Source organism: Homo sapiens, chromosome 3, assembly GCF_000001405.40.
Source record: "Homo sapiens chromosome 3, GRCh38.p14 Primary Assembly".
NCBI classification, from domain to species: domain Eukaryota; kingdom Metazoa; phylum Chordata; class Mammalia; order Primates; family Hominidae; genus Homo; species Homo sapiens.
Window position 1 is genome coordinate 114,213,106 of NC_000003.12, and position 26,731 is coordinate 114,239,836.

A 26,731-nucleotide genomic window follows, 5' to 3' on the forward strand; every position below is an offset into this window, starting at 1 on the left:
CACAGGAATTTCATGATTTTAAAAAAGGATTCCAGATTCTTCTGTTCTCCTTGCCAAAGGCTAGTCAATTTTCCCAGTTGCTTCTCTATTGCCCCCATCTTATTCAAAACTGCACAAATTCAAATGACCCCACTTCATCTAGACAAAAACGTAAAAAGAAAAGACAGTCAATCAAGATTCTGCTTGATTAACATCTTGGGAGAAGGCTAACATGAGTCTTCAGGGATGAAAATAAATGGCTCTGAGCCTGGGCTGTGGTCATAAACCTGACCTTGTCACTGCCTAAGCGAGGAAAGCAATGGAGGAAATTAGAGCTCTCGTTCCAGTGTGATTACAATTGTACCCTTAACAGGACATGACAATGTTTTTTGGCATTCAATTATGTTTTGCTATGCGTGCATGCATACACTCACACACTCACACACGCAGAGCTAGAATTGAAATCATCTCAAGTGAGAATTCTTGTGATGCATTTAAGGGGCCTGCATTTGACAAGTTGCTACCTAGTTATGGACTAAAATCTCACCAGGCACCCCCATAGCTTATCGCCTGTCATTTCAAAACAAAGACATCCTGCTTCCCCTTTCTGTGTCACACCTCATCGACTCATTCTCAGCAGACTCTTACTTTCATTACAAGCTCGGTGCCACCTCCCGGACTTTCATCAGATGAAAACTTGAAAGAAAAAAAAAACCCATTCCATGTTTTGACTTGGACTCTAGGTGTTGTTATTCTCTCAGTCCAGCTTGAGAAAAAAAAAAAAAAAAAGCCCACCCCACGAGGGGGCAGGCCTGCTTTCCTGTCTCCTGCCACCACACAGTCTCTGAAGTGTGTGAAGAAGAGAGGAAGAGACAATTAACACTCAGCACCAATCTGCATTTCCTTTTTAGCTGCCATTTACACGCTGCTCAGGTTTTGAAAACCAGCATTTCATGCTACTCCCTAGAGAGCCAGCACCAGCTTCAGCAGGATCCATCTGCACAGCACTCACATTGCTGAAATCTTCAGCCAACCCAGAATTCATTTATTTATTTTTTGAAAAAAAATGAGAGAGAGGAAGTGAGAGAGTACGAGTGAGAGAGCAAGCAAGCGGGTGAAAATAATAGATTAGAATCTGGTAATATTTAATGCGCACGCTTGACCAATCCCTGCGCTGGTCCAGGCAGGGGTGAGTCAGTGGAGTTTTTCTTTGATCATCTTCTAGATTAGTGTGAGCAGCGAGCGAATGAGCAAGAGCGTGTGACAACAGAGGATGACAGGCTGTGAGGTTCGAAGCAGGAAGGACACACTCCATAAGTCTCGGCACTGCTCATCAGCCCATGTGTCAGCACGCTCTTGCTGATGGGAGCAGCGGGGAGAAACGCCATACTGGGAAGTCACTGCTGGTGTGGGACAAGTTACAAGATGCTTCTGGGGGAGGAAAATGTGTATCATCAACTCCTCAGGTCTGGCCAACTTGCTTTATTTCCTTTAGCCCCCAAAGGGTGGAGCATTGAAGCATAATAGCTTCAATAAGCTTTGTTATTTTAACATTATTATTTTTTAAACTGAATTCACCACCACAGGAGGTCACAGAGTCAATGGTCACAGCTGGCTTTTAAAAAAGGGTTGAGTCACTTTGTGATTGATAAAACAGACTCAGCCTGAGATGAGGGCAATCAGGTTTCCTGCTTGAAGGCATCAGTTGATCACTACAGGGGTCGGAAAGAAGTGTTTTTCTTACGCAAGTTCTGGCATAATAGTCTAGGTGAATGCAAAAAAAAAAAAAGTTAGTCTTTTGATTTGTTTGTTTTTGTTTCTAAGAGAGAGCAGAGCTAAAAAGCCCATCCTTACCTCAGTAGACCAATGAGTGGTCTGATTCCATCTGGCTCTGCTGCTCAGATGGCAGTTGTGATGATAGTCATGCTACAGACACATTTACCAACTAAGCAGTGCAGACAGTACTCTGCATTGGCCCAGATTTACCTAGGAACAAGCACAGGTGTGCTCAGATAAGGAAAATACCTTAGGTCAGGAGGTGGGGTGAGCACATGGTTGTTAAAATAGAATTTAGTGAGTTAAAAAAAAAACCAGCAAACCAACACAAGACTCATAAGTACCCTATAGTATCTGCGGATGCCGTTACACGTCAAGTTAAACCACATCTTCTCAGGATACAGGGGTGTTTTGCAGCTCTCACATTAACACAGATGTGTAACGTGGGTTTCTCAGCCTATCAGAGATGGGGCAAGATAGGGTTATAATAAACAGCTTTTGTTTTTTTTGGCTCTGCCCTTACTAGGGGAGACTTCCAACCTTACCAATTCTCAAATAGTTCTTGGAGTCCCTGGTGAGAAGGATGCCCCTCTTCCACCATTCTGACTTAATGACACTGGAGCCACACTGCATGGGTTCAAATCCCAAACTCATTCCTCCACTCAAAATGTATTTAAGGGAGTGCCCACTGTGAACTTGACATTATTCTAGATGCTGAGGAAAGAGCCATTCCACATTTTCCTGTAATTTTGGTTCTAGTGAAGGTGTAGAAATGCAAATAAATAAACAAGTAAATGTATAATATTTCAGATAGAATATTATAGAGATGCTGTGGAGGGAACAAAAGCCTACTTGAGATGTCTTCAACAGAAGACAAGAAGAATGAGAGAGAGAGTAAGAACAACCATTTTAAGAAGTTTGCTGCAAGGGGGAAAGAAATGGAGTCGTTTGACTTAGGAGTGGAATCCCAGGGAAATTTCTTGTTGCTGTTGTTGTTTGTGGTTTTGATTGGAGAAATAGCATCACGTTATTCTGATCCATGTTATTAATTATTCTCACATTATTCTAGTTCTGATTCAGTAGAGAAGGAAAATAGATGATGCTAAAGCAATGTCCTTGGGTGGCGTGAGGGGTTGGGATCTGGTGCAAAGTGGAGGGGTTGGCTTTAGGTAGAAAATACACAGTTCATCCAGAGCAGCAGGAGTGAAGGTAAACGCATGGACATAGTGTAGAAAGATGTGAGGGTAGAAACTTGTGCAAGTTCTTTTTCTAATTGCTCCGATTTTCTCAGTGAAGTAGGAAGCAAAGTTATCAGCTGACAGTGTGGAGGAAAAGAATGTGTTGGAGATTTGAAGAGAGAGAGGAAGATGTGAAATAGTCCTGGAAAAGTGAGTTGACTAGGGAAATAGAGTAGGCTGCCACGCTACACTAAGGGCTCACTTGTGGTTTGTGATGATAACTTTAAAGTGAGACCAGTCAGCATGGTTGTTTTCTTTGGGTATATTTGGCTGGTTTGGTACAGGCATGGAGAAGTGGAGAGCTGGCCAAGAGTTTTGTCAGCTGAGTATGACAAAGAAAGAGAGGGTTGAGGCAGTTGAAGGAGTGTGCAGTGAGTAACACATCATGGTCCATGAAATCTAAACTAGGTGGGAAGAGAAGTAGGGAATGAAGGGAGTGAAAGACAATAAAAAGGTTCCAGGAACAATGGTTTTTAGGTCTCTGTGTGGTCCACGAATTGTTGGAGTTGGCAGACTAGAGAAGGTGAGCTGGTAAGAGGAGGCGGAGGTCCGAGAGGGAGAGGGTGAAACATGGTGCAGCTGCAGTTGTAGTTGTTGATGATGACTAGGCAGGGGCATGAACTTGTGTTGCTAGCAAAGGTAGAGTAGAACCAGAATCACTGGGAGAGAGGAGGTGAGATAGTTGGGGGGCCAGCACTCTGGGAGGAGCATCTCCCTGCAGGTCCGGTACATCTCTGGGGGCAGTTTTCTTGTTGTTTTTTATGTGAGTAATGCCCTGCTGGAGCCCAGCTCTGTGAAGTCTAAAAGGATGTTGAAAGCACCAAGAATTACAATATAAGTAGCTTTGGAAGGGGTTCAACCAAACTGACATCTTCAAGCAATGGGTCAGAGGAAAGCGAGGTCAGGAGATGACTGCACTAAGGACCCAGGGAGGACAATGGCTTAGAAGTGGTGATGAACAGAAAGGAAGACACTCAACTTACCCTCCAACCTAGGGCTCTAAAGGAATGAGGAGAAGACGTTTGAATGGTTGCAGAGACTCCATTTGTTAATTATGTGACTCAGAAAATTATTTAACCTCTGTATGCCTCAGTTATCCCAAATGCAAAATGGAGATAATAATTGTACCTCTCTCACAGGGTTGTTCTGAGGATTCAATGAGGCAATGTCTGAAATGCATTTATCACAGTACCTGGTGCAGAGTGAGTATGGATAGATTTTTAATTGAAGCAGTTTTATCAGCTATCTAGGTCACCAGAGCCCCAGTATTTCTGAAGGGACAGAATGAGCTTTTGGCAGGTACTGAGGAGCTTCTCAAGGAGGGTGAGCACAGATGCTGACTTAGCCATGAGAGGCACAGTTCAGAGAGGAGGGTAAGGAAAACAGGCCCACAGCCAAGACAGAACAATTAAATATGTAGGGAGCTGAGAGACTTGACAGAAGAAGTGGAAGTAAAACATGTTTCTAGTCAGGGCTATGAGGAGGGTTGCCTGGAGGCTCTATTGGTAATTGATGTGCCTCTGACAATAATTAGAAACAATTTCTGGGGACTTACAGGGTACAATCACCTAGTGATATTATTTACCACAGAGAGTAGTGTCTGAGTTGAAAATGGATGTTATTGTTTCCTGAGAGCACATTACAAGGTGACTTCATGGTGAATAGATTTTTCAAGATATTTGACATTCATTGACTTTCTATTTAGCTCCTCTTACTCACAGAGGCCATTACTCTAATGACAATACCTGGATTTATCTCTGTTAATGGCAGAAGACATGTGAAAGATAAATCCTCGTTGTGTGGGCCTCCAAATCATGAATGCGACAGCTTTGCCTTCCCAAGCCTCTTAGATACCTAAGGGATTCTGAGAGTGTGGAAGGCCCAGGGCATAGCCTCACCCCAGTTCAAGAAATCCTCAACCACTAATGCCAAGGGACCGGACTAGCACAAATTGTCTTGTCTTTTTCTAATGTGAGCTTTATTTTATGTCACTTGGGACTAAGTAACATAGTGTATATAAAATAGCACAGAGCCTGGCTCATAGTGAGCACTCAGGAAGTGTTGACTCAAGAATTATTGTTTTCTTGAGTTCTTCTGATAAGACCTAGGGGGCCTCCCATATTTGGCATACTTCAAGCCCTGGGGAAGGGATCAGGGTTGGGGGAGAATCAGTGGCATTTGGACAATGGTGCTGGAGAGCGGTATTCCCCTGAGGAATCCCAAGATTCGGTGGCTTGGTTTTTCTTTCAGTTGGCTTCTCTTTGTGTATAAGCTTGGAGGCAAGATGCCAAATTACAGCTCACCTACAAGGGTATTACATAGGGGTTTGAAGTCAAAGCTTTATAGATTGAACAGTATCAATTTGGCTTCCATTCCTTCTGCATTGGAAGTCAAATGGGAACGGAGATAGGGTCCAGGGAAGGAGACAGGAGGGGGCATCTATGATTGTAACCTAGCCTCCAAGCTGAGGGACAAAAGGAGTCCCAACAGCTTATCCCATGTTCTAGCCCAGCTCGCCGAGATGGGAAACAATACTTAAGGCATGTTGAAGTCTAAGCCCTACAGATGGTTTCCCAAAAGAGCGTTATTGGCATTTTGGGAGGAACGATTCTTTATTGGGTGGGACTGCCCCTGGCAGTGCAGGGTTATAGAACACCTGTTGCCTGTGCCCATTACATGTTGATAGAGTCTCCCATCCACAGGCACTGCGATAACCAAAAATCTCTACACATTTCATAACTTGCCCAGGTTGAAAACCTTAGTATGAGTGACAACACGCCTGGCATGTCCTCGGTGCAAATAGACTTCTCTGCAAATGTGACTGCACACCAGCTGGCTGGCCAGCTACCTGGCCTCATCTGAGTCACTCCCTCGTCGCAGTTTGAGAATGGTGGAGGCTGGCAGAGCAGTCTCCCGAGACTGAACAAGTATTTAAAGACTGTAGATCCTGGCTGTCCCCTTCGTGGAGATGCGACCCTCTGTGCAAGGGCTGTATTAGTCACACTACCTTCAGTCATGCATAAGTGTCCCAGTTCATCACATACCACCTGCAGAGGGTGTGTTTACTCTGAAGCTAATGAAGCTTTAAGATTTGGAGCCTCTTTCAAGGCTCGTGTATGAAAGAAACTTGATAGAATTCCCAAATTTGAAACAATCCTAAAATTTTATATGACATTACCAATAACGCCTCATCTGAAAAATTTGGCTGTGGAATGATATTAAGAATAGCTACAAAGTGTTACAAGTCTGCGTGTGTCAGACAATATATACTACATGCTTTCAACCTTCCCGTGAGTTCATTTTTTATTATACTTATTTAATAATTGAGGAAATTGAAGAAGAGGGAAGTCAAATGCCTTGCCTAAGATCACACAGGCAACAGGGCTAAGCATCAGGATTTGAACTTCAAACTTTCTGATTCCAAAGCCCCACATGCTCTGGATTAGGTTACACTGCCTCTCAGGCAGGGGTCATAATTAATGCATGGAGATGCTGGTTCAAGTAAAGGTGTGAAGAGTGGGACTCCTGGGCTTATCTGACCACAGTGGGTGAAGGACAAGTGCAGGGTCCCTGAGGAGATGCGTGTTTGGCTGACAGGGCAGAGAGTGTGCTAGCAGGCTAAGGGGGAAATCCCTCTGGGAGGGATGGCAAACAGACAGAGGTGGAAAGTTGAAGACATTGACCAGGAAGAGTCAAATGGTCTGTTTTGAATCTCAGCTCAATCTGGAATGTTCTGTTCCTGAAAAAGGAGTGACGTTCCCCTCCTCTTTGCTGACTACATAACACAGAGCCCTCAGATTTGCAAGTTAGAGAGCAGAGGTGCAGGGTCAGGCAAGCGGACAGAAAAATCAGCAGCAAGTATTTCCCTGGCAGACTGTACTGGAGGGAGCAGCCATCTGAGGAGAGTTGTTGGTAAGGATTTGGCATTTGAAGTATTTTTGAACAAGTGCAGGTGCTGAGAATGTATATTTTCAAAAAAAATAGTAAATAAAATAAAGTCACCTTACAAGAAAGAGACAATGTGAACTAATGTGGGCAAGAACGGCACCCATTTGTCAGAGAGAAAAAGGATGTCACAGTAGGAGAACTCCAGAAGGGTCAGAAGGAGACACATTTTCTTACCCACAATAGGCGAAAGTGTTTCTCCAGTTTGTCAGTGAAGAAGGGTTAGAAATGTACATGAGAAACCCCTTTTATATCACTGATTCAGTCTTGTGTACAATAACGCTTAAATAAACAATGTGTAGTGTTCATCACAATATAGATTCATATTACCAACGACTCTCTTTTTTTGCCATTATAAAGAGTTAAGGATTCCCTGTGTAATTTGACAATTAGCAAAATGAAAATGCACATCTTACCAGTCACTTGTTGGAATGTATCTTACAGAACTACTAGCATGGGTATATAAAGATATAGGGACAAACAAATTTATTATAGCACTTGTTGAATAAATTATGGTTCGGCAGCAGTGGTTTACTACCAGTCATTTCACAAGGTTTGAATAGATGTGTTATATTAAGTGAAAAAAGCAATGTGCAAAAAAATCTTGTGCAGTGTGCAGTCTTATTAAGAAACACTGTACATGTGTGCATGTGCCTATATGTAATTGTATAAACAGAGGAAAACAGTCTGAGAGGACAGTGGATACATTTGAGTGCTGAAGTCAGAAATAAGAAAGGATTCTCACTTTTTAATTTATATCCTTCTCAAAAAGGTAGAAGTGGTGGGATTGTGGGTGATTTTTACTTATTTATTTTTTGTGCCTTCTTTATGTTTTCCCAAATTTCCTATAGAGAACCTGTGTTCTGTAAATGAAGCTTTTATGATTAAGCTTCATTTCTGCCTGGGAAGCAGTGCAGTGTAGAGGCTAAGCCTATGGGTTCCGAAGTCGGAATACCTGGGTTTACATTCCAGCTCTACATCTATGCAGGGGATGATGATTGTGGATGAATGACTTCGCCTCTGTGTGCCATAGTTTCCTCTTCTGTAACATGGAGGTACTAACAGTATTCCAGTCCATGAGACTGTTGGGAGTATTGCGTGAGACCCTTTGTGTAAAGGGTGTGGTCAGGGTGTAGGAAGTGTTGGCCATTATTATTGGATGTGGAAAGATCAAGCTCAGGGGCACAGGTAGACAGATTGATGTGAGCAAAGGGCTATGCTTTCCTCGTTTTCCTCTGAGACTGGAGAGAAAGAGCCCAACTGGCGGCAGAAACAAGCTGCTGCAAAGAGGAGAGTAGAGGCTGGACTTGCTCAGGTTGCTTTTCTTCTCTTGTTAGAGAACAGGAGAGAGAGCCACAGGGAGAAGATCTGGAATGACCTTTTGTTTCAGTTCCTGCCCACCTTTCTTGTGGTCCAGCAGTCATTTCCTTTCTTCTGCAGGCCTTATTCCTGCCCAATTCTCTGGGAATGGAGAATGAATGTGTGCGCCAAGGGCCTGTCCTCACCCCTTTCCACTGAGAGGTAGGGACAAGGGATTCCACTTTTCCTTCCAAGTTTTGAAATCCCCTAAGCAAATCCTGTCCAGGCTGGACCCGTCACAGTATTTCATCAGCTTCCTCCATTCTGAGGCTTGGACAAATGATTAGACACCAGGAGCTGGGTTCTGCCCACAGCGGAAATTGGTTTCTCAGAATTTACTGTTTGACGCTAAAGCCTCGGTTGCTGAAAATGACTCATGGCTCCATTTGTGATTCGTTTTCAGATAAATCACAGGCCAGACAATCCAGTGTATTTGAAAGCCACAGTGGCCGATTCAGGGTCTCAGCATGTTTAGGCTCTTTGACTTGACTGGTTAATGTACCAGGAAAGGCCTGAAGTAGGTAAAAAGGGTCACCTGTTGGTCATATAAAGACAACTATACACCGAAAAACAAGTGAGCATTATGGGAGCTTCATGTCTGAGAGCAGCCTTCCCTCATGTTAGCTTAGATGGCAGCTATGCCAGTTTGCTCTTGAGATCAATCACAGCTCTAAGAATTCAGGTGCAGACACACATGCATTGTCACTATCCAAGATGCTTCAGAGCATCTTGGCCACATCCAAGATGCTTCAGAGCATCTTGGCCACATCCAAGATGCTATGGCCTCAGTCATGACAGATAGCTTCACCTCCCACATATTTCTGTTCCCCTCACCTTTGCCCTCTGCTCCCTGCCCCTAAGCTCTCATGGGAGACTTGCTTATATCTGATACCTAAGATATCTTTGCCTTTCCAAGCCAGTGCCTGCTCTCCCATGGATGGTGTTTTTATGTTGCTTTTCTGATTGGCTAGCTCCAAAACATTCTGCATGACCCCATTCAACTATAATGTGCTCTGTAATGCCTTTCTAGAGCCTTCTATGCAGAATTGATTACCTTTAACTTGGTCCCTCCTAACACTGTTCATACTTATCTCTCTTATTTTCTTTTACCATTTATTTATTGTCTATACTTATTTCTCTTACTGTAGTTTGTTATATAGGTGACCAGCAGTCCTCAAACTTTAGTGGTCATAAGAATTTAAAAGCAGCAGAATCAATAAGAATCTATTAAACACCTATGATATGCAGGCCCAGGATTGAGAAAACAGTGTACTACTATTCCACCTAGGATTGGGAAAATAGTGGAATACTATTCCACCTAGGATTGGGAAAATAGTGGACTACAATTCCACCTAGAATTGGAAAAATAGTGGGCTACTATTCCACCTAGGATTGGGAAAATAGTGGGCTACTAAGTGGACTGGGTCTCAGCATCTTATGTTATTGTGTCTCCTCCCCAAGATGAGCTCTCTGATCTGCTATCTCTACCATGGAGGCTGGGAATCTTCATGAATTATTAATAATAACCCTGCATGATTCTGATTCAGGTGGTTACAGACACATTCTTTGGGTAATGGTGTAGTAGATTCACAGCCTGTATTAATATAATAAATATCATTTATAAAATGCTGTGGTATATATTTGAATCCAAGTGCTTTGAGCCTAGTGTATGAGAACTAGTCAGCTAGCTAGTGAGTTAAGCTAATTGATCACCTAGGACCCTCATTTCAGTAATAGCTGTGGCTCTCTATTAATCTTTGAATAAATGGTGTAGCAGTTCCTAAACCAGTATGCGGGGCAACTCAATGCTACAGGATGTTAATAGGTAAGCCACAGACAAAGTTAAACCTAAATATGTTTTCTTAATGTAGCATTTGTCAGAGCTTACAAAAAGCTATGCACATTGTGACTTTCCATGAGGAAATGATTATAGTCATTTCCTGTTCCGTGAAGTGTGTATGAAGCATATAGGCCCTGAACAAAAAGGCCTGAGCTCAAACCGACTTTGGTATTTGTTAGCTACCTACTTAGGCCAGGATTTTCCTTTCTGAGTTTCAGGTTTCTGTTCTCATTTCTTATTAATACTGGCTCTGTCTAAGTCACAGGACTGTAGTGAGAATAAGATGACTTAAATATATGTAATAAGTGCTTTATAAATTGTAGAGTTCTGAGCAGACATTAGTTTTGCAATACATGGGAAAATGTGCTAGGTGCTGTAATTGCAGAATAAAGAAAGTACTACTGGGAAATAGAGGAAGGGGAAATAAATTAATTTTGACTATGATAATTAATTTATAACTAGCAGTTGAATGAAATGCCAAAAGCAAACAAACATACACAGGTGTTCAGGATTGTTTTTCTGACACCATTTGCTATTCATTTGTGTGTTGCTAACTGTAAGCAGGAACATGGGTGTAACTGGAGATCTGTGAATGTCAATCTTCAAGAGAAGGAACTGCCAAGGAGGACTTTGATATGGTCAAAGAATTTTATTTTGGATTTCAAATATCTCATTATAATTATACCTTAATATACAATATTGAGATATATTCAATTCTAAGCCCAAGAAAATCATAACATGTGGAAAGAGCTTCATAGAGTTATACAATAACTTTGTAGAATTTTAACATTCCCCAGAGGATGCATGAGATTATGCAATTTTTTATGTGAGTTATCATTTCAGAATAGTCTATTTGTTCAATTGATAGTCTTTTGGCAGTTCTCTTTCTCTCTGTAGTAAGGTTTCGTTGATTAGAGGAGTTAGAAAAAGTCTCTCAAATTTTGTAAGAAACACTACATTTATATCATACATTTATGTATTCATTAAAAAACTCTAGAACTATTTGTTGAGTACCTACTGCATATAAAGCATAGTACTAAGCACTAGGAAGTCAGTACTCCATAAAATAGGCCCTGACCTGACCCTCATGTAGACATAGTCTAGTGGAAGCAAGCACATGATGATAATATAATGTGACAAGCTTTACATTGGAGTGTATACAGAGTGCAATGGAGCATATAGAGGGGTAACTATTTACATTTTATGTGATTGGTAAAAGCAGCCTACAACTTCGGTTTGTAGCCCTAGAAGTAGGGATGAGGAGTTCCTTGGAAGAGTCCATTTGCTGATCATGGACAAATAAGAAAGGAAGCGCAAAGCCAGTAAATAAGGAAAGCGAGAGAGGCAATTAGAGGCAAAAACATAGGGACTGGCTCCTGGGTGAATTGACTCACTCTTCCTGGGAATGATCCTTTAGCCTGGTGTCACTAAAAGCTGGACATCAGTTTGCTAAGTTGTGACATCTTAAGGGTGCTGCCCAGGGTCTAATTGTCACAGATGAGAAATGACCTGGCCCTGGGACGAGGTCTCCAAGAAGACTCAGCAAGTCTATGCCTAGTCTCCCAAAGGCCTACAGGTCACTCTTTGGGGCTTGTACTGATGGATTCAGCTTCATACAACAGAAACCACTCTAGCTAATTTAAGCAGAACAGGATTTATTAGCAAACATTAAGTGGCTACAGAATTATCTGAGGGGCTGGAAGAGCTGGCTCTAGGGTGAGCATCCAGGAACTCCTAGCCTTCAGAGATATACAGCCTCATCCATAATCAGAAAAGTTACATTTCTGCTGCAGGAGATCACTGAGTTAGAAACTGCTGACTACAGAACATGCTGCTTCTGCCTCAGTTCATGTCAGATATGAGCTCTATGTTTCCTTCCTCTTAATTCAGTTTTGAATTCAAGTCTCTTTTGAGCATACTGGAGAGTCTTTTGGAATCCTAGCTGCAAGGGAGTCTGGGAAACATAGTCTTGGATTTCCTGGCCTCTTCAGCACAGGAAAACATGAGAATGAGGTTATAATAAATTCAAAGCAAGCCAATCATAGTATCTGCAACAGGACCATATCCTTTCTAGATTCTAACCAGATTTGAAGCCCAAAAAACATACTTAACTGCCACTCTTTTAGTTAATATGCTGAGAGGCTTGGGGAAGGAATATTGGATCCTGCTGGCCCCTGAGGGTTGGTGACTTGGGGGAATTTGGTTACTTTTTCAAAGGTTGTGGAAGCTGGAGAAGGACAGCCATGGTGTGCACGAGGATGTGATGGGAAGGGTCAGGCAGAGAGTATGAGGAGTACAGTGGGAGATGTGAGAAGCGTAATGGGCGTACAGAGTTCAGACAAGCAGCTGAGTTTCAGTGTCCAGAGAAAGCAATTGACGTTTCAAGAGCAGGAACTCAGGAATGGCCACCTGGTTGTTCCAATTAATTCTGCTAGAAGTCATGATGTTGGCCTGTTGCTGCATTAATCATGAGGACACATGCGCATCACCCACTGTCTTCCTGGCTTCCTGGTCACTTGTTGATTTTAACTGAGACACAGATCACTCCATTTGATTACTTCACTGAGCAGCTTTCCTTCTGAATAGGCCTGGCTTTTGTCTTCCCTGATGGGATTGGGTCATGAGACCCACCTGCAGGCCCAGGTTGGACCTATATCCTAAGCCAATCATGGCAGAGGCCAAAAGTGAAAGAATTCCAGCCTCATCATTCAGGAGGATATAATATTAAAACTAGGTGTCCACAGACCTGATATGTGGACCACCAGAAATTCATTCCTTTATTCATTCACTTAACTACATCTACTGAGCCCCTGTCATGCAGCAGGCACATGGGTGTTCTGCATAGGTAAGGTCATGGTAAGCATCCTGGAAGATAGGAAAGACTCCCTTGGGTGGAGAAGCGATGGCAGAGCTGGTCAGGCAGAGACAACAGGAAGTACACAAGCCCTGGGGCTGAAGTAGAAGTAACAAGGGGCAGAGGCCATGTGGCTGGAGGCTTGGGGCAGGGCCTGGACAGGAAAGGCCTTGTTGGCCCTGCTAAGGACTTTCACTTTTCTCCTGAATGTAAGAGAAAGCAATTGAAAAAGGTGTTAGGCAGGAGGATGGCCATAATGAGGGCAGTGTTTAAAAACTGCTCTGGTGATTTTTAAAACATCCTATGCTTGCTTGCTTTCTTGAAGTATTGATAGGATGGGGTGGCAGGTGCGGGGGGCAGTGGAGGTGGGTGAAAGTGGGTGGAGGCAGATCGGTTAGGAAGCCTTTGCAGTAGTAGTGAAGGTAAGAAGTGATATTATATCAGATAGGGGTGATGGTGGTAAAGAAGAGAGACAGGACTGAGATACAGAGAGGAGGAAGAAGACAATTGAAGGAGGAAGAGCAGTGTTGTTCTTTTTACTCTAGTCACTTCAAACTCTACTTTCACTTTTAGACTTGGTTTTCTTTTTTCATATTTATCTTTTCAAGTTATATCCCAGTGTAAGAAAATCAAAAGGAATGAGATTTATTTAAGAAAATTCACATCACAATATGAATATGCTTACATACAACCCATGCCAAAGACTTGGAAGTGCTATAAAATCTGTATTTTATATAGCGCCACAGTTAAGAGCATGGATTTTGCAGAGAATCAGCTTTGTGACCTTGGACAAACTGTTTCACCTTTCTATGCCACAGATTCACCACCTAGAAAATGGGGATGAAAATAGTAACTACCTTGGGTTTCACTGAGAATGAAGTGAGATAATACATATAAAACAGGCATAGAGCCTGGCATAATGAAAATGGTCAATGAATGCTAATTAGTCTTGTTATTCATAGCTTGTAGCTGACCATCCTCTGTACAGTTGATTGATGCTCCTGAAGGTCTTCAGAGCCACCAGTGAGCACCATACAAGCAGTTATAGCATGACAGACTTGTGCACAGATTGCAAGGACCCTGAAAAGATGGTTCTGCATATTGAATTTAATTCTGCCTGTTTTCTCCCAAAACCAGGTTCTGCCTCTGGGACTGTGCAGAACTTGTTGGAGAAGCATTGCATGGCAGGGGAAATTGGGAGGCGGGGAGAAGAGGGTTGAAGAGGGTGAAGACTGTGAAGTGGAACACAGGGTTCCCACTCCTGTTGGGTAATTTTGATTGCAGTTTTATTGTGACTAATTTTGTTGTAGGGATCTGATTTATTTCTTATTCCTCATTCATCTATGGAACATTTACATGTGCCAAGCACTGTAATAGGTACTGAGGATTCAGCTATGAGCAAAGTTCCAGCTTCCATGGAGTTTAAATTTTGGTGAGGTTATGTCTCTTGCCAGCAAAATTTATTCTCCTACAGTTCTTAGCTGGCCAAAACTTCTTCCTCCATGGTAGGAAAGAAAGGAACCAATTGGGCACACTGCCTGTTCTAGAGTCATATCGAAAAGAAAGCCCTACTGTATATGGTTTGGAGCTTATTCCTTTTGGGGGAAATTTAGTTTGTATTCTATCAGGGAGGGGAATAATAGAGAAGTTATTAATCCCAACGAACTTTCCTATTAGTCCTCAAAATATCCATATGGGTAATGTATTGCTATCCCAGATGAAGAAACTGAGGGTAAGAGGTTGAATGATTTTCCCAAATAGAGGTGAGATTCAAGATTTCAACTTTAGCTCCCATGCTTTATTTCTTTCTCTTGTAAATTGGAAGTTATTTGTTCAACTGCAAACAAGTAAATTTAATGGCATTAGCTCGTCTGGCCATTGGCGTGATGGTGGTGGTTAGCACCTCTAGTTAATAGATCCTATAGTGAGTATACTATCAGATAGACTGACCTTCATGGCATGTGACATAGCTCAGTGGTTCCCAAATGCCAGTTCCTGGACCAATGATAGTCTGTGACAAAGTTGTCACCAATTTTTGCAATGTGTGGAATAAAGTAAATTTAAATTAAAGGCCACTTCTGTTATGTCTCCTCAACATTCCATTATGGAATGATGGTAAAAGTAGGAGGGTTTTTGGTTTTTTTTTTTTTGCTTTTTTTTGGGTTATTGTTATTTTATGAAATAAAAAGTTGGCAAACCTGTCTGTCAATCCTTCCCTGTTAAAGTTTCCCATTTGGTTTAATTCAAAAGGCTAGGGAAACTTGATATAGCTAACTAAATGAAAAATAGAAGTTCTGTTTCTGGCAATATGAATACTAGATATTAAAAAAATCCTTCTGGTGCAAAGCACCTAAAAAAGAAAGTAAAGTTGGAAAAAATTATATATTTTAAAAAATGCATAGTTTTATTGGCAAGAAAGGAAAATTTTTAGAGGCCAAAAATGACAAGAAAGCACAAATACAGAGAAAGCCATATTTGGGAGAGAGGAGACAAATCTCAGGTTCTAAGCAAGGTGGGAAATAGGATTAAAGACTGAAAGCTGGCTCTCCTAAAAGGTGACATCTTCTGTGAAAAAAGGAAATAGGAACTAAAGTGCCCCTCAAGAGCAGTCCAGTAAATACAATTACCCTTGGGATGGTGGGAAGGATAAATTTCTCCTGAAAGATTCATAACAGTGAGTTACTCCCACTGGATTTAAGTCTAGAATTCCCATTGCTTATATAAGCTGAGAAATCCTAAGCTGATAATTCAAAATATTCTGGGTTACACTGTGTCTCCAGGTGCCTGGTAAGGGCAAACACAAACTCTCCTGAAGGCATGCACCTTGATTCCAAGCCTCAAAAAATTCCTAAGATATAATTTCAATTAATATAGGCTCAAAAATAAAAATCACAAAATAAAGGAGGAAACAAGATGTCACGGGGAGGTGGGGGGTAATCAAAAGAAACATCAAGAATCAGGCCTGTAGAAACTTCAGGTATTAGTGATGTTGAGTATAAAATATAAAAGAGGTATTGAAAGTATAAGAAACTATCAAGCCGATTTTTAAAAAAGAACCAATTAGAACCTGCAGAAATAAAAAATACAACCACTGGAATTTAAAAATTTCAGTTACACAGGTGAAAAGAGAGTTAATGAACTAGAAGGTAGATATGAAGTAATTACTCTGAATGCATAGAGGAACAAAGAGATTGAAAATATGGAAGGTAAGAGAAAGGGAAGATAAAGTGAGAGGTTGTAATATATATCTACAGAGAGTAATAATGGAGATAATGGGAGAGACTCATATTCAAAGTTATCGTGTATGAAAAATTTTCAGAATTGGAGAAATAAAGAAATCTTGAGATTCAGAAATCCTTATGAGCACCAAGCAGGATAAATTAGAAAATCACACTTAGACACACCATATTGAAATTATAGAATATGAAAGATAAATAGATTGCAAAAGAAGATACAGAAAAGAAAAATTACCTATAAAGAAATGACAATAAACTGATAGCTTACTTCTCAACATCATTAATGAAAATTAAAGGAGAGATATACATTCAAAATCCTTCATTGGAAAATATTTAACAAGCCAAATGTCATAGCTAAAGAATTACATGCCCCAAATGACTATGTTTTATTAGCTTTAGGAAAATGCCTTTTCACCTGTAACTGGAATGAATTGCCCCACAAACTTGGAATTTAAATATGGACATTTTCCCTATTTTTGCAGTTAACCACATAAGTGGTCTCCTATGCCTCCTTATCCTGAAGTTCAGCATCTTCTTATGAGGGTTCCCATGCCCTTTAATTGAATTGTCCAAGAACACTTACTCCAAAGCAGGTTGATCTCCTTCCAATGTGAGATGTAGAGGGAGATGAAATTTAGTCAGTTTATACCACCCGGTGCAGTTACTTTTTTCACTGCCATGTGTATTGCAGTTGAATTTTGCCTTGAAAAATTCCATGGATATTTGTTTACTACAAGGTCTCTCTAACAAATCCAGATCATTGCATAATCACAGTGAGACCCCATTTGGGGTCTCTTAATTTATAACCTTCTTGAGTGACAATTATAACCTCCCAGGAAGCAGTGGGTCACATCAACTACCTCCACTACCCCCAGATGCAGAATTACTGTCCCAATGTCTTAGAGTGGCCACCTGCTTTCAAAGAGTAGAGGCAGGTTTTTTTTTTTTTTTGTAGTTTTGTCTTTTTTTGTTTTTGTTTTTCAAGTTTCCAAACAAGAATTTATTCTTTCTTTAAAAAAAATTTTTTTTCTAAAAAAAGTACCAGGTACAATTTTTTCCTGTTTCTGTTTTTTCAAGTTTCAGCAAATGCTTGTTCCCCTCAGCCCAGCCCCAGGAGTCAGGACTGAGGCTGGGTCAGAGTCTGGAGTGGGGGATGGGATAGTTGGGAGCCACATGACTGAGTCTGAGAGTTGCCCCTTAGCCCAGATGAGGTAGGTGGGTCAGAGTCTGGCCAGGTGAAAGGAGGCACCCCAGTCCTTGGACCTGACTCTGCTTCCTGGACACCTTCCTCAGTCACACCCCAAAGTAAGGAGACACAGGTAGGAGGAAAGGGACAACTGGAGTCTGGAACTGTAGGTGAGGGGTGGTTAACCTCTGTGTGTGTGCATACATGCACACTCTCTTTCTCACACATACCACACAAAGACAAGCTTGTACACACATGCATACATATAATTTGGCTTTCAGAGCTAGGTCAGAGGGTAGGGGAAGTGAAGGGACTAGGGGAAGGACAAGGCAAGCTGAAGCTTTGGCTACTGACTCAGTCCCTCTGGAATAACCCCTCTTCCCTCAGCTGAGGGAGAGCAGTTCTCCTTCTGCTCCCCTGCATAAGCCTCTTCAACTCCTGAGGTTGGAGCAATATCTGAGAGTGGGAAAGGAAAAGGGGTGACGCCAATGATCAGGTGTGGGAGGTTACTAAGTCAATCCAATTTGAATAAGTTATAAATTAAAAATAAATAAAATAATAAATGGTTCTTTTTCAGGACAGGGAGGCAACGCTGGCATGACTTCCCTGGGAACTTGGGATAACCTCAGGGTGGCTCTGGTTCCTCCCTACTACCTAAGCTGGACTGGGAGAACCAAGGGAGGGGACAGGCACATGGAGGACCTGAAGTAGGGCAGGTTGTAGTAAGGATCAGAAGCTCTAAATACCCAAATGATCAATCTAGGCATGAGCATGGTGAGGGCTTTAACTCGAGCCTGAAGGGTCTCTTGCCATCTCTCCATCTATGGGATGGACAAGATGGGCAGGTCATTGATCCACATTGGTTCAGAGTAATGGCAATCAGGGCAAAAGTGAATAACGTGGGTTAAGAGGGGCCCCAGTCACAGCCTGAAGTTCGCAGGGGAGCCCTGCGTCCAGCTCCAGGCTCTAGCAGGAAAAAAGCTGGCAGAGATCTCCATTCAGGCTTAAGAGGCCTGAGCGGGAGCTCCAGAACCCAAGGTGCAGCGAGTAGCAGAGGAGGCAGTAGGTGGGGTTAGCATTTTTCTCCTCACCCACAGGCACCAAAAAGAGGCAATGGCACAATAAGGGCATGTGGCAGCAGCCATGTCCAAGAAGTCAAAGGTCACCAGGAACATCTTCACCACAGTCTGGTTGGGGTTAAATGTTACTTGTGTGGTGCCCACTTTGGGCACGCTGTAACTCTTCCTCCCCAGGAGGTTCAGATCCACAAAGCCCAGGAAGTGGGTGGGGGCATTTTGCTCAGAAACCTCAAAGAAGGTGACAGTGACAGGCAGTGTGACATGGTGGGGGCAGTAGGACCCACTAGCTCCAGTCTCTGCTGTGAAGCCCTCAATGTGGCCAGATGGTGCAAAGCGTCCTTGCAGCAATGATTCCTCAAAGTTGCCCAGCAGGGTACAGCTGATAGCAGGGGTAGGAACAGGGGAGGCACTACGGGGGCTCAGCAGGCCTGGCCCCTTCCAGAGGCTTCAAAGTGGGCTCAGCTTCAGGTGATGGGCACCTGTCAGCCTCCGCCCCATGGGACTGCAGTCTGTTGGGTCCAAAACAGGCTCCTTGGGCCCAGGCAGCAGGTGGCTCCAGATGGGTGTGGTTTGAGCATCAGAACTGTTGGTAGCAGTAGGGTGGCCCAGGGTTCCCTGGCACGTCCAAAGGGCTGGACCCTCTTCCTTAGAACTGACATTTGGGGCTTCTCCAGCAGAAGCAGCCTTTGCTTGGTGGGGCAGGGGCCTGGAGGTCCAGGGCTGGGGGTGTGTGCTTGGGACTGTGCCCACTGTCAATGCCAGGGGACTCCCTAGGCCAGAGGCTCCCCCTCTTGCCCACCCTAGCCACTGGGCTCTTACCCCTTATTTGTGCAAAACTGCAAATCAGTGTCCAGCGTGTGTAGCTGGCCCAGAGGGCTGGCCCTGGGGACTCCCCTAGGGACCCCTGTCCCCCTGGGTCTGGGAAAGCCTAGTCTCTGGTGTGTAAAGTATTTCAGGAAGCATATGATCGGGGCCAGGAGGGACTCCAGGCCCCTGAAGTCCAAGAAGAGGTGGCACTACTTCCCTGTTCCACAACACAGAGGCCACGGTGGGAGAAATGGTGGCTGGACACACCTACTCCCAGCCCCAGTCCCCCTGGGCCCAATAGCCCTACAGAAGATGGTTCTTCAGGGGGTAGTCCCTCTCTGGCCCCCAGCCCAGGGCCCCTCTCCAGCTCCTGAGGACCCTTAGTGGGTGGGGCTGGTCGCTTCTGGGCCCTGTGAAGCTCAGAGGCACCAGCTGGAGGGGAAAAGATAAATACCTGGTAGAGCCTGGGGGATGTCACTGCCCCCTGCCCCCCCCCCACTTGCTGGGCTGTAGTCCATGAGCAGGCCACCCCGGAGGGCCCCCTGCCTGACTGGAGGCTGTGAAGGGCCAGCCTCTGGCTCTGAGGATGGAGACAGCTCTGCCTGCATGTGGCACATGAAGTCCCCCTTGGGTCAGGGGGGTCACCCCCACACGGCCTTTATGCTGGGCCTGTGCTGGGGAGTCTGGGGACATCTGGATGAAGAGGGCTCAAGCCTAGCCGTGCATCCCCTCTTCCTGACTGATGCCTTGTTCCTCTAGCTTGCAGTCTGATTCATGCCCACTGCACTAGCAAAGTGACTGCCACCATTCCATGCAGCTCCTGGGCTCAACAGGACCCTGTAGTTCTGTTAGTCTCATTGCACTTGAGGAGGTGGTAGTAGAGGCAGAGTTTTAAAACCACAGCAAACAACAAAGGTCTTGCATTCATCTCTCCCAGGACAGTGAAGCCTGCTCAGTCTAGACTTACATGAGAGACTACTCAATGACTCTCACAGAAAAGAGATCTTCCCAAGGTGACATCTTCTCCTCCTAAGCCAATAAGGTCATCTTACTCACAGTCCACTTCCAGGAACTGACCCCAAATGGACAGAATCTACTTATATCATGGCACAGCTGTCAACTTCTCTTGCTAAAGAAGAGAATAACGCTCACAAAATTGCCCCAGATGGCGGTGCAACATTTTTGGGCCAAGTACTACAACTGAAAAGCATGAACAGAGTTTTACCAGCGGGTTACAGGTTTGTTTATATGAAAATTGCACTCCCTGTTTATTTCTAATAGGGAAAATATTTCTGATGGTATATGATTCCTAAATGAAATGATGCTAACAAATGTTCACATATTTTGTGAGGGAGAACACAGCAAATTGTAAGATATGATCTGCAGATATCAAACTCATTTTCTTTACTGGAAAACAGGTCTGACTGCATGGCACGATTATGTTGGGAAAAATGCAGCTATAGTTCTCTTCATTTGGAACACGAACGTATATCACAAAGCTAACCAGATCACATTCATTCAGTAGCAAACACAAATCAACTGTGGCTAGCAAATGTGTGTACAAAATACATTGACATCAATACCAGTTTGGTGCTTTCTTGTGATCAAATCCAGGGAAATAGAAATCAGCCATCTAAAACTTAACCACTTGCAAAAGAGCATTTATGTTACCAGCAGTTTAAAGGAAATGAATGTTCATTGAAGAGCAGCCTATGCTGAACTCTCATTTTTACATGTATTCAACTATATATATGCTGGCTCATCATTTTAAAACTATTATCAGCCAGGTGCAGTGGCTCACGCCTGTAAGCATTTTGAGAGGCTGAGGTGGGTGGATCATGAGGTCAGGAGATCGAGACCATCCTGGCTAACACGGTGAAACCCCATCTCTACTAAAAATACAAAAAATTAGCTAGGCATGGTGGCGGGTGCCTGTAGTCCCAGCTACTTGGGAGGTTGAGGCAAGAGAATCACTTGAACCCAGGAGGCAGAGGTTGCAGTGAGCCGACATGCGCCACTGCACTCCAGCCTGGGTGACAGAGTGAGACTCCATCTCAAAAACAAACAAACAAACAAGCAAACAAAAAAATTATATTATCATTTATTAAATGTGATTAGGTAGCTCTGGATCCTTGGTCTGTTATTTTTTTTAAGGCATAATAAGACCAGGACTTAAAAAAAAACACCCTGTAAAATGTACGCTTTTTAAGAAATAATAGAAGTCACTTTTATTCTAACATGCTATCTTTATTGAAATATTTTAAACATTTATTGCAAAAACAATAAATGCTTTTTATTTTTCAAACATAAACAATACTTAAGTATAAAAGTAAAAACTGAACATTGCATATAACCCTGGTCCATCCCATTTCCTGCAGAAAACCACTATTAACAGTTTTATGCTTATACTTCTAGATGTAGTTTTATTTCCTGAAACTTTCTCTTTTACTAAATACTGTATCTTAGAGATGTTTTGATATCAGTACATACAGAGATACCTTATTGTTTCACAGTATTTCATAGAACAGATGTACCATAACTTACTTCCAACTGATAAACATTTAGATTGTTCTCAACGTTTCACACATAAAAACAAAACTGCAGCGATTATTCTTTGCACGCACATCTCTGCATAATATAAAAACATTTCTGAGGATTTCTAGAATTGAATTAACATGTCAAAGGATCTACATGTTTTATATTTTAATACATTGTATTCATCAAAACATTTTTTTCTGAGTTTCTCATTAGATTAGATAAGCTGTGTTTTGTTTTGTTTGTCTTAGCTCTTGTTTAACTTCTAGAAAACTAGTGACATGCTCTTGGAGAAGCCCCTCTTACAGAAGGCCAAAGAAGCTGAGAAAGCACAGAGGAAATAATCAAGGCTCACCTGGGAAAGCAACACAGCTTCACCATCATTCTCTCGTCCCTGAGAAAATAAATCAAAACAAACAAGTATATTGAGCACTGGGTGTTCAAAACCACATGAAGAATTGTTTTTTGTTAAATTAAAGCCTTAAGTAGTCTTAAATGATGTAGCAAAATATGCCCATTCAATGTGGTTACTTACCTCCTCAGATATGAAAGGATTTTATATGGCAGTATTTTTATATTCTACGTTCTTACAAGTTTCACATATTCCATTACTTAAGCGTTCATATTTCTCACAAAGACTTACATTCCTCAGGAGTACAATGTTTTAGAACAAAGAATGCATTCAATAAATCTTTACAGAGTTAATCTTTACAGAGGACAATTCTCCTGTAGACAGGAGTGAATACATATAAAGGACAAATAACGAGGCAAGGCCTTTGTACCTTTCAGCCATCTGCAAAATGAAGAACTGAATTCAAATTTTGATAGGCATGGCTTTCAGAGAAGTCTGACAGAAGCTATGCATGAATTTCTTTTTTTCTCTTTTACAGTTCCCTTCTTACTTAAAAAAAAAAAATCCTGAAGTGGCTTAGTGATATAAACTATGGAGAGAGGTGTGGGTGGTTCTTTTAAGTGCACAATAACCAACAGGTCTCCCTCCTGGAAAAATTCTCAGATGCTGAGGAAGATATTTCCTGTGGCCAAAAGATTTTCTTCACTAGTTTTTGTCAAAATGTCTTTTCGCAGTTTAAGTTCTCTGACGTTGACTGATGTGGGCCCACTTGCAAAAGGCCTTCCCACATATCTCATAGAGTTTATCTCTGGAAGGAATTCTTCAATGCCAAGTGAGGATGAGCTGCAGGTCACAGCTTTCCTACTGCCACTGAATTCAGAGTGCTTCTCCTCAGTGTGGCTCTCTATGTATCAAAGAAAAAAAAAAAAAGAAAACCCACAAATTCCCACATCATTTGCACTCAAAGGTTTTTTCCTCCAGAGTGGATCTTACTCTGTTGGGCAAAAGCAGAGTGGTAGCCAAAGTCCTTTCTATGTTCAAGGCACTCATAAGGTTTCTCTCCAGTGTGACTCCTTGTATGTCGAGTGAGGGAATAGCTGTAGTAAAAACCTTTCCCACATTCTTTGCACTCGTAGGGCTTTCCTGCAGTGTGGGTCATACTATGTCGGAAGAAAACAGAGCGGTAGGTGAAGGTCTTCCCGCACTCACTGCACTTGCAGGGCTTCTCTCCAGTGTGAATCTTCATGTGCCGGGTTAAGGAAGAGTTGTAGTAAAAGGTTTTTCCACATTCTTTGCACCCAAAGAGTTTTTCTCCAGTGTGGGTCACACGATGCTGGATGAAGACAGAGTGATAGCTGAAGGTCTTTCCACACTCGCTGCACTCATAGGGCTTCTCTCCAGTGTGAATCTGGCGGTAGCACAGGAGGTGCGACCTGCGGTTGAAGACCTTCCCGCACTCCACGCACTTACAGGGCTTCTCCCCTGTGTGAATCCTCATGGGTCGAACGAAGTCGACCTTTTCAGGAAAGGCTTTTCCACACTCCTGGCATTCATAAGGCTTCACCCCAGTGTGAATCTGCTGATGTCGAACAAGGAGGCTGTTTTTGTTAAACACGCTCCCACATTCCTTGCATTTGTAGGTCTTCCCCTCACGAACCAAAGTGTCTTTACTTGGTCCCTGGGAGTCACATTCATGGAGATTGTCTCCTGTGGAGACCTGCTCCTGTAAAACCTGTGAGTGCAGACCATCACCTGTCCCCAACCCATCGCGTTTAGGGCTCATCTTCCTCCAGAAGGTCTCCGTGTGGGAGACTGCAGCCAAACTCAAGTGCCCTTCTGCATTTCCAACTGTGTCCGGAATTGGTGGGTTCTTGGTCTCACTGACTTCAAGAATGAAGCCGCGGACCCTTGTGGTGAGTGTTACAGCTCTTAAGGTGGCGCGTCTAGAGTTTGTTCCTTCTGATGTTCGGATGTGTTCGGAGTTTCTTCCTTCTGGCGGGTTCGTGGTCTCGCTGGCTCAGGAGTGAAGCTGCAGACCTTCGTGGTGAGTGTTACAGCTCTTAAGGCTTAAGGCGGCGCGTCTGGAGTTGTTCGTTCCTCCCGGTGGGCTCGTGGTCTCGCTGGCTTCAGGAGTGAAGCTGCAGACGTTTGCGGTGAGTGTTACAGCTGGTAAAAGCAGTGTGGACCCAAAGAGTGAGAAGTAGCAAGATTTATTGCAAAGAGCGAAAGAACAAAGCTTCCACAGTGTGGAAAGGGACCCCAGCGGGTTGCCACTGCTGGCTCCGGCAGCCTGCTTTCATTCTCTTATCTGGCCCCACCCACATCCTGCTGATTGGTAGAGGCCTGGTCTGTTTTGACAGGGCGCTGATTGGTGTGTTTACAATTCCTGAGCTAGACACAAAGGTTCTCCACGTCCCCACTAGATTAGCTAGACACAGAGTGTGGACATAAAGGTTCTCTAAGTCCCCACCAGAGTAGCTAGATACAGAGTGTCCATTGGTGCATTCACAAACCCTGAGCTAGACACAGGGTGCTGATTGGTGTGTTTACAAACCTTGAGCTAGATACAGAGTGCCGATTGGTGTATTTACAATCCCTGAGCTAGACATAAAGGTTCTCCAAGGCCCCACCAGAGTAGCTAGATACAGAGTGTAGATTGGTGCATTCACAAACCCTGAGCTAGACACAGGGTGCTGATTGGTGTGTTTACAAACCTTGAGCTAGATACAGAGTGCTGATCAGTGTATTTACAATCCCTGAGCTAGACATAAAGGTTCTCCAAGGCCCCACCAGAGTAGCTAGGTACAGAGTGTCCATTGGTGCATTCACAAACCCTGAGCTAGACACAGGGTGCTGATTGGTGTATTTACAATCCCTGAGCTACACATAAAGGTTCTCCATGTCCCCACCAGACTCAGAAGCCCAGCTGGCTTCACCCAGTGGATCCCGCACCGGGGCTGCAGGTGGAGCTGCCTGCCAGTCCTGCGCCATGCACCCGCACTCCTCAGCCCTTGGGTGGTCGATGGGACTGGGTGCCGTGGAGCAGGGGGCGGCGCTCATCGGGGAGGATCGGGCCGTACAGGAGCCCACGGAGGGGGTGGGAGGCTCAGGCATGGCGGGCTGCAGGTCCCGAGCCCTGCCCCACGGGAAGGCAGCTAAGGCCCAGCAAGAAATCGAGTGCAGCGCCGGTGGGCTGGCACTGCTGGGGGACCCAGTACACCCTCCGCAGCCGCTGGCCCGGGTGCTAAGCCCCTCATTGCCTGGGGCCGGCAGGGCCGGCCGGCTGCTCCGAGTGTGGGGCCCGCCAAGCCCATGCCCACTCTGAACTCCAACTGGCCCGCAAGTGCCGCGTGCAGCCCGGGTTCCCGCTCTTTCCTCTCCCTCCACACCTCCCTGCAAGCTGAGGGAGCCGGCTCCGGCCTTGGCCAGCCCAGAAAGGGGCTCCCACAGTGCAGCAGTGGGCTGAAGGGCTCCTCAAGTGCCGCCAAAGTGGGAGCCCAGGCAGAGGAGGCGCCGAGAGCGAGCGAGGGCTGTGAGGACTGCCAGCACGCTGTCACCTCTCACAACCACTCTTTCCCTCACTCACCTCAACCTGGAGGAACTTCTGGCTCCCTGAGTTAGTCTTTCCAGGAGCAAGGCTCCCTAGGACAAGGCTGGCTGGCTTTGGCTTTTACTTTGTCACCTGGACAGCAGCTTTAGCAAAGGTATTTTCTGCTCTTTTATCACTGCTTCAGCTAGTAGGTCAACTGTGGTTTGCATGCCCCCGTGACGAGTGGTCTGCAGGTCTCTGGTGTCACCTCCCAGTACGGGGTCCTCTGGGGCTGGTCCAGCTGCTCCCACTTCTTCCAGGTTAAGATCATGGACATGTCCTGCACCACTGCCTCGGATGTCGCTGCAATGGAGCAAGACAAAAGCCACGCGGCACCTGCATCCGCATATGCAGAGAGTACTTCCGACTACAGATACCAGAGAGCCGCGTGCAGCCTCCGCCAGCCGAACTACAAGTCTCAGAGGCCTCAGTTTCATTTTTTAATTCCTGGGAATTTAACCCTCAATTATTCTAAATGGAAGTTGATGCCGGTTGGGTCGGGGCGACCTGCAAGCTTGCGCACAAACGTGCACATAAGAACATACATGTAAGGAACCTGTTCATGCAGGGCGTGGAGAGAGTGTGTCCCACTTATCACTTAATTTTACCCGCTGACCCCACGATAAACTGTACCAAGGGGCTGGCCATTAAAGTCAATCCAGTCAAAATACTCAGTGTGGAGAAGACATGGAAATTCAGGATCTCTTTTATGTTGTGGATGGTTCTGTAATTAGTAAAATCACTTTGGAAAAGTTTGGTCCTATGTCCTAAAGGTCTTTCCAAAACAAAGCTTTCCCACATGTACCAGGAAATGTGTTCCAGAATGCTCACATTAGCAAACACCTGGAGAGAGTTCAGGAAAGAGGATGGCCGCTACACAGAATACAACATTGTTCAGCCGCCTGGGACTGCTGCCGTCCAGTACTTCTCCCAGGGGAGCCAGGGAAGCATCACAG

The 26,731-nt window shown here is 44.0% G+C and overlaps 1 protein-coding gene and 1 pseudogene across 1 annotated transcript, besides 4 other annotated features; both read right to left on the reverse strand.

Annotated features, from left to right (window-relative positions):
• Positions 631-1,304: an enhancer, noted in NCBI's record as "NANOG-H3K27ac hESC enhancer chr3:113932583-113933256 (GRCh37/hg19 assembly coordinates)". NCBI's record gives its function as "activates a minimal SCP1, AML or CMV promoter by ChIP-STARR-seq in naive H9 embryonic stem cells {active_cell/tissue: H9 hESC(naive)}" and the evidence as "EXISTENCE:reporter gene assay evidence [ECO:0000049][PMID:30033119]".
• Positions 18,096-20,116, reverse strand: ATOSBP1 (ATOSB pseudogene 1; annotated as a pseudogene).
• A 1,409-nt stretch (positions 20,117-21,525) lies between these two features.
• Positions 21,526-24,473, reverse strand: ZNF80 (zinc finger protein 80). The gene has a single exon (NM_007136.4). The coding sequence runs from the start codon at positions 23,967-23,969 to the stop codon at positions 23,148-23,150; it is 822 nt and encodes a 273-aa protein (NP_009067.2). The 5' UTR covers positions 23,970-24,473; the 3' UTR covers positions 21,526-23,147.
• Positions 24,036-25,749: a mobile genetic element.
• Positions 24,036-26,292: a biological region, named in NCBI's record as "ZNF80-LTR promoter". NCBI's record gives its function as "regulatory_interactions: ZNF80".
• Positions 24,420-26,292: a promoter, noted in NCBI's record as "1.9 kb HindIII fragment". NCBI's record gives the evidence for it as "EXISTENCE:reporter gene assay evidence [ECO:0000049][PMID:7659503]".